Source organism: Homo sapiens, chromosome X (genome assembly GCF_000001405.40).
Source record: "Homo sapiens chromosome X, GRCh38.p14 Primary Assembly".
Lineage (NCBI taxonomy): Eukaryota > Metazoa > Chordata > Mammalia > Primates > Hominidae > Homo > Homo sapiens.
The window spans coordinates 137,668,909-137,677,093 of NC_000023.11; positions in this window are offsets into that span (position 1 = coordinate 137,668,909).

Below are 8,185 nucleotides of genomic sequence, written 5' to 3' on the forward strand. Positions count from 1 at the left end.
ACACGGGGTTTCTCCATGTTGGTCAGGCTGGTCTCGAACTCTAGACCTCAGGTGATCTGCCTGCCTCGGCTTCCCAAAGTGCTGGGATTACAGGCGTGAGCCACGATGCCCGGCCGGAGTACTACGTCCTAAGAAAGTCCTGGAAAGGTCTCTAATTGCTGTGAGGACTCAATAAGTTCATGAGAAAATGAGAAAGTCTCTAGTGTACAGTTCCATCTTGGGTACTTTGCTTATTTTTATGCAATAATTACATTATAGTCTCATTTTAACTATTATTGAATTAAGTCAAGATAAGAAGGAAATCTAAATATGAAACTGGGACTCAGAAAATACCACCTGTTCTTCTAGGCAATGGAGCAGAGCAGTAAACAAAATGGACAAAAATCTCTTTGCTCTCATAGAGTTAGCATTCTAGTGAAAAAATACTAATTGGATGGACTTTATAATATAAATGGAAGCAGGTGACTGATGTTATTATATCTGCTTTTGCAATGAGAAAACATGCTAGGTCAGTTTGTGCATAGTCTTCTAAAGACATGTAGTCCATCGCTATCACGAGGACTCAACAGCTAATGTAAATGATTTGGAATAAATGTTTTTATAAGACCTGTACATCATGTCACATAATTCAATTGCAAAAGATGTGGGAGACGTCAGTCAAGGACAAATGGTATACATTTATGCCAGTTTTATTTTATCCTATAGGTTTGGTCCAAGTGACTGCTCATGAACATATGGGATCTGGCTAAAGAATTGTTATTTTCTATAAATGTTCAATATCAAAGTACACAATTTGAAGTTTTTTTCTAAATCTTTTTACTTCTGCCTTACACAGTCCTGAAGGAAGAATGGTGTCTTTCTTGGGTGCCTATCCACCTGATGAGACATGGTGCAATGGAAAAAATACAGTCTTAAAAACCAAGGCCGAGAGCGGTGGCTCATGCCTGTAATCCTAGCACTCTGGGAGGCTTAGGAGGGCGGATCACCTGAGGTCAGGAGTTCGAGACCAGCCTGGCCAACATGGTGAAATCCCATCTCTATTAAAAATACAAAATTAGCCAGGCATGGTGGCTCGCGCCTGTAATCCCAACTACTCAGGAGGCTGAGGTGGAGAATCGCTTCAACCCAGGAGGCAGAGGTTTCAGTGAGCCGAGATCCCGCCACTGCACTCCAGCCTGGGTGACAGAGCGAGACTCCGTCAAAAAAAAAAAAAAAAAAAAAAAAAGAAGAAAGAAAGAAAGAAAAAATCAAAAGATGGAAGTTCTAGCCCTGGTGTTTTTCACAAACTAAGTAAACTTGTACTATTTCTCCTATCTGGACCTCAATTTCTGCACATATACAATGAAGGGCTTGGCAGATTGTCCCTAATAGCCCTTTCCACTAATATATTTCATGATTCTATGACTTGATGAGTAAGGGTCGTATAGAAGATCCTTCCTTGATCACAAATATAAAGTTTAATTTCTCACTTCAAATCATATTTTTTTCTTGGAATTAATTTAACCACTTTCTTCAAAGCCAAAAAGACATATAGGCAATTTAGAAGAGCTATTTCATTTGATTGACAAAATTTCAAGTAAAAGAAAACAATTTTAAAAAATAACAAATCAATAGTATTTTATTTTATTTTATTACGTTCCAGGGTACACGTACAGGACGTGCAGGTTTCTTTTTTTAATTTTAATTTTTTATTTTTTTGAGATGGAGTTTTACTCTTGTCACCCAGGCTGGAGTGCAATGGCGGGATCTCGGCTCACTGCAACCTCCGCCTCCCAGTTTCAAGCAATTCTCCTGCCTCAGCCTCCCAAGTATCTGGGATTACAGGCATGAGCCACCACGCCCAGCTAATTTTTTCTATTTTTAGTAGAGACAGGGTTTCTCCATGTTGGTCAGGCTGATCTCGAACTCCCGACCTCAGGTGATCCACCCGCCTCAGCCTCCCAAAGTACTGGGATTACAGGCGTGAGCCACCGTGCCTGGCTCAACATGCAGGTTTATTACATAGGTAAATGTGTACCATGGTGGTTTGCTGCACCTCTCAACCTATCACCTGGGTATTAAGCCCTGCATGCATTAGCTATTTGTCCTGATGCTCTTCCTCCCCCAACCCCTTTGAGAGGCACCAGTGTGTTGTTCCCCTCCCTGTGTCCATGTGTTCTCAATGTTCACCTCCCACTCATGAATGAGAACACGCAGTGTTTGGTTTTCTGTTCCCTTGTTAGTTTGCTGAGGATGATGTCTTCCAGCTTCATCCATGTCCCTGCAAAGGACATGATCTCATTCCTTTTTATGGCTGCATAGTATTCCATGGTGCATAGGTACCACATTTTATTTATCCAGTCTATCATTGATGGGCATTTGGATTGATTCCATGTCTTTGCTATTGTGAATATTGCTGCAATAAACATGCATATGCATGTTTTTTTTTTTTTTTGAGACAGAGTTTCACTCTTGTTGCCCAGGCTGGAGTGCAATGGCACAATCTCGGCTCACTGAAACCTCTGCCTCCCGGGTTCAAGCGATTCTCCTGCCTCAGCCTCCCGAGTAGCTGGGATTACAGTCATGTGCCACCATACCAGCTAATTTTTTTGTATTTTTAGTAGAGATGGGGTTTCACCATGTTAGTCAGGCTTGTCTCAAACTCCTGACCTCAGGTGATCTACCTGCCTTGGCCTCCCAAAGTGCTGGGATTACAGATGTGAGCCACCATGCCCAGCCCACATGTATCTTTATAAGAGAATGGTTTATATACCTTTGGGCATATACCCACTAATGGGATTGCTGGGTCAAATGGTATTCCTGGTTCTAGATCCTTGAAGAATTGCCACACTGTCTTCCACAATGGTTGTACTAATTTACATTCCCAGCAACAGTGTAAAAGTGTTCCTATTTCTCCACAGCCTCGCCAGCATCTGTTGTTTCTTGACACAATAGAGATTTCAGAAATAAGACCACACATCTACAACCACCTGATCTTCCACAAACCTGACAAAAACAAGCAATGGGGAAAATATTTCCTACTTAATAAATGGTACTGGGAAAACTGGCTAGCCATATGCAGAAAACTGAAACTGGACCCCTGCTTTACCGAAATTAACTCAAGATGTATTAAAGACGTAAATGTAAAACCCAAAACCATAAAAACGCTAGGCAATACCATTCAGGACATAGGCATGGGCAAAGATTTTATGATGAAATTGCCTAAAGCGGGCCGAATAGGAACAGCTCCAGTCTACAGCTCCCAGCGTGAGCAACGCAGAAGACGAGTGATTTCTGCATTTCCATCTGAGGTACTGGGTTCATCTCACTAGGGAGTGCCAGACAGTGGGTGCAGGACAGTGGGTGCAGCGCACCGTGCACCAGCCGAAGCAGGGTGAGGCATTGCCTCACTCGGGAAGAGCAAGGGATCAGGGAGTTCCCTTTCATGGTCAAGGAAAGGGGTGACAGACGGCACCTGGAAAATCGGGCCACTCCCACTCAAATACTGCGATTTTCCGACGGGCTTAAGAAATGGCGCACCAGGAGATTATATCCTGCACCTGGCTCGGAGGGTCATACGCCCATGGAGTCTCGCTGATTGCTAGCACAGCAGTCTGAAATCAAACTGCAAGGCGGCAGCGAGGCTAGGGGAGGGGCACCTGCCATCGCCCAGGCTCACTTAGGTAAACAAAGCAGCCCGGAAGCTCGAACTGGGTGGAGCCCACCACAGCTCAAGGAGGCCTGCCTGCCTCTGTAGGCTCCACCTCTGGGGGCAGGGCACAGACAAACAAAAAGACAGCAGTAACTTCTGCAGGCTTAAATGTCCCTATCTGACAGCTTTGAGGAGAGCAGTGGTTCTCCCAGCATGCAGCTGGAGATCTGAGAACGGGCAGACTGCCTCCTCAAGAGGGTCCCTGACCCCTGACCCCCGAGCAGCCTAACTGAGAGGCACCCCCCAGTAGGGGCAGACTGACACCTCACACAGCCGGGTACTCCTCTGAGAAAAAACTTCCAGAGGAACGATCAGACAGCAGCATTCGCGGATCACAAAAATCCGCGGTTCTGCAGACACCGCTGCTGATACCCAGGCAAACAGGGTCTGGAGTGGACCTCTAGCAAACTCCAACAGACCTGCAGCTGGGGGTCCTGTCTGTTAGAAGGAAAACTAACAAACAGAAAGGACATCCACACCAAAAACCCATCTGTACATCACCATCATCAAAGACCAAAAGTAGATAAAACCACAAAGATGGGGAAAAAACAGAGCAGAAAAACTGGAAACTCTAAAAAGCAGAGCGCCTCTCCTCCTCCAAAGGAACGCAGTTCCTCACCAGCAACGGAACAAAGCTGAACGGAGAATGACTTTGACGAATTGAGAGAAGAAGGCTTCAGACGATCAAACTACTCCGAGCTACAGGAGGAAATTCAAACCAAAGGCAAAGAAGTTGAAAACTATGAAAAAAATTTAGACGAATGTATAACTAGAATAACCAATACAGAGAAGTGTGTAAAGGAGCTGATGGAGCTGAAAACCAAGGCTCGAGAACTACATGAAGAATGCAGAAGCCTCAGGAGCCGATGCGATCAACTGGAAGAAAGGGTATTAGTGATGGAAGATGAAATGAATGAAATGAAGCGAGAAGGGAAGTTTAGAGAAAAAAGAATAAAAAGAAACAAACAAAGCCTCCAAGAAATATGGGACTATGTGAAAAGACCAAATCTACGTCTGATTGGTGTACCTGAAAGTGACGGGGAGAATGGAACCAAATTGGAAAACACTCTGCAGGATATTATCCAGGAGAACTTCCCCAATCTAGCAAGGCAGGCCAACATTCAGATTCAGGAAATACAGAGAATGCCACAAAGATACTCCTCGAGAAGAGCAACTCCAAGACACATAATTGTCAGATTCACCAAAGTTGAAATGAAGGAAAAAATGTTAAGGGCAGCCAGAGAGAAAAGTTGGGTTATCCACAAAGGGAAGCCCATCAGACTAACAGCTGATCTCTCGGCAGAAACTCTACAAGCCAGAAGAGAGTGGGGGCCAATATTCAACATTCTTAAAGAAAAGAATTTTCAACCCAGAATTTCATATCCAGCCAAACTAAGCTTCATAAGCGAAGGAGACATGAAATACTTTACAGACAAGCAAATGCTGAGAGATTTTGTCACCACCAGGCCTGCCCTAAAAGAGGTCCTGAAGGAAGCACTAAATATGGAAAGGAACAACCGGTACCAGCCGCTGCAAAATCATGCCAAAATGTAAAGACCATCGAGACTAGGAAGAAACTGCATCAACTAACGAGCAAAATAACCAGCTAACATCATAATGACAGGATCAAATTCACACATAACAATATTAACTTTAAATGTAAATGGACTAAATGCTCCAATTAAAAGACACAGACTGGCAAATTGGATAAAGAGTCAAGACCCATCAGTGTGCTGTATTCAGGAAACCCATCTCACGTGCAGAGACACACATAGGCTCAAAATAAAAGGATGGAGGAAGATCTACCAAGCAAATGGAAAACAAAAAAAGGCAGGGGTTGCAATCCTAGTCTCTGATAAAACAGACTTTAAACCAACAAAGATCAAAAGAGACAAAGAAGGCCATTACATAATGGTAAAGGGATCAATTCAACAAGAAGAGCTAACTATTCTAAATATATATGCACCCAATACAGGAGCACCTGGATTCATAAAGCAAGTCCTGAGTGACCTACAAAGAGACTTAGACTCCCACACAATAATAATGGGAGACTTTAATACCCCACTGTCAACATTAGACAGATCAACGAGACAGAAAGTCAACAAGGATACCCAGAAATTGAACTCAGCTCTGCACCAAGTGGACCTAATAGACATCTACAGAACTCTCCACCCCAAATCAACAGAATATACATTTTTTTCAGCACCACACCACACCTATTCCAAAATTGACCACATAGTTGGAAGTAAAGCTCTCCTCAGCAAATGTGAAAGAACAGAAATCATAACAAACTGTCTCTCAGACCACAGTGCAATCAAACTAGAACTCAGGATTAAGAAACTCACTCAAAACTGCTCAAATACATGGAAACTGAACAACCTGCTCCTGAATGACTACTGGGTACATAACGAAATGAAGGCAGAAATAAAGATGTTCTTTGAAACCAACGAGAACAAAGACACAACATACCAGAATCTCTGGGACACATTCAAAGCAGTGTGTAGAGGGAAATTTATAGCACTAAATGCCCACAAGAGAAAGCAGGAAAGATCCAAAATTGACACCCTAACATCACAATTAAAAGAACTAGAAAAGCAAGAGCAAACACATTCAAAAGCTAGCAGAAGGCAAGAAATAACTAAAATCAGAGCAGAACTGAAGGAAATAGAGACACAAAAAACCCTTCAAAAAGTTAATGAATCCAGGAGCTGGTTTTTTGAAAAGATCAACAAAATTGATAGACCACTAGCAAGACTAATAAAGAAAAAAAGAGAGAAGAATCAAATAGACACAATAAAAAATGATAAAGGGGATATCACCACCGATCCCAAAGAAATACAAACTACCATCAGAGAATACTACAAACACCTCTATGCAAATAAACTAGAAAATCTAGAAGAAATGGATGAATTCCTCAACACATACACTCTCCCAAGACTAAACCAGGAAGAAGTTGAATCTCTGAATAGACCAATAACAGGATCTGAAATTGTGGCAATAATCAATAGCTTACCAACCAAAAAGAGTCCAGGACCAGATGGATTCACAGCCGAATTCTACCAGAGGTACAAGAAGGAACTGGTACTATTCCTTCTGAAACTATTCCAATCAATGGAAAAAGAGGGAATCCTCCCTAACTCTTTTTATGAGGCCAGCATCATCCTGATACCAAAGCCGGGCAGAGACACAACCAAAAAAGAGAATTTTAGACCAATATCCTTGATGAACATTGATGCAAAAATCCTCAATAAAATAGTGGCAAACCGAATCCAGCAGCACATCAAAAAGCTTATCCACCATGATCAAGTGGGCTTCATCCCTGGGATGCAAGGCTGGTTCAATATACGCAAATCAATAAATGTAATCCAGCATATAAACAGAACCAAAGACAATAACCACATGATTACCTCAATAGATGCAGAAAAGGCCTTTGACAAAATTCAACAACCCTTCATGCTAAAATCTCTCAATAAATTAGGTATTGATGGGACGTATCTCAAAATAATAAGAGCTATCTATGACAAACCCACAGCCAATATCATACTGAATGGGCAAAAACTGGAAGCATTCCCTTTGAAAACTGGCACAAGACAGGGATGCCCTCTCTCACCACTCCTATTCAACTTAGTGTTGGAAGTTCTGGCCAGGGCAATTAGGCAGGAGAAGGAAATAAAGGGTATTCAATTAGGAAAAGAGGAAGTCAAATTGTCCCTGTTTGCAGACGACATGATTGTATATCTAGAAAACCCCATCATCTCAGCCCAAAATCTCCTTAAGCTGATAAGCAACTTCAGCAAAGTCTCAGGATACAAAATCAATGTACAAAAATCACAAGCATTCTTATACACCAATTACAGACAAACAGAGAGCCAAATCATGAGTGAACACCCATTCACAATTGCTTCAAAGAGAATAAAATACTTAGGAATCCAACTTACAAGGGACTTGAAGGACCTCTTCAAGGAGAACTACAAACCACTGCTCAATGAAATAAAAGAGGATACAAACAAATGGAAGAACATTCCATGCTCATGGGTAGGAAGAATCAATATCATGAAAATGGCCATACTGCCCAAGGTAATTTATAGATTCAATGCCATCCCCATCAAGATACCAATGACTTTCTTCAGAGAATTGGAAAAAACTACTTTAAAGTTCATATGGAACCAAAAAAGAGCCCGCATCGCCAAGTCAATCCTAAGCCAAAAGAACAAAGCCGGAGGCATCACACTACCTGACTTCAAACTATACTACAAGGCTACAGTAACCAAAGCAGCATGGTACTGGTACCAAAACAGAGATATAGATCAATGGAACAGAACAGAGCCCTCAGAAATAACGCTGCATATCTACAACTATCTGATCTTTGACAAACCTGAGAAAAACAAACAATGGGGAAAGGATTCCCTATTTAATAAATGGTGCAGTGAAAACTGGCTAGCCATATGTAGAAAGCTGAAACTGGATCCCTTCCTTACACCTTATACAAAAATT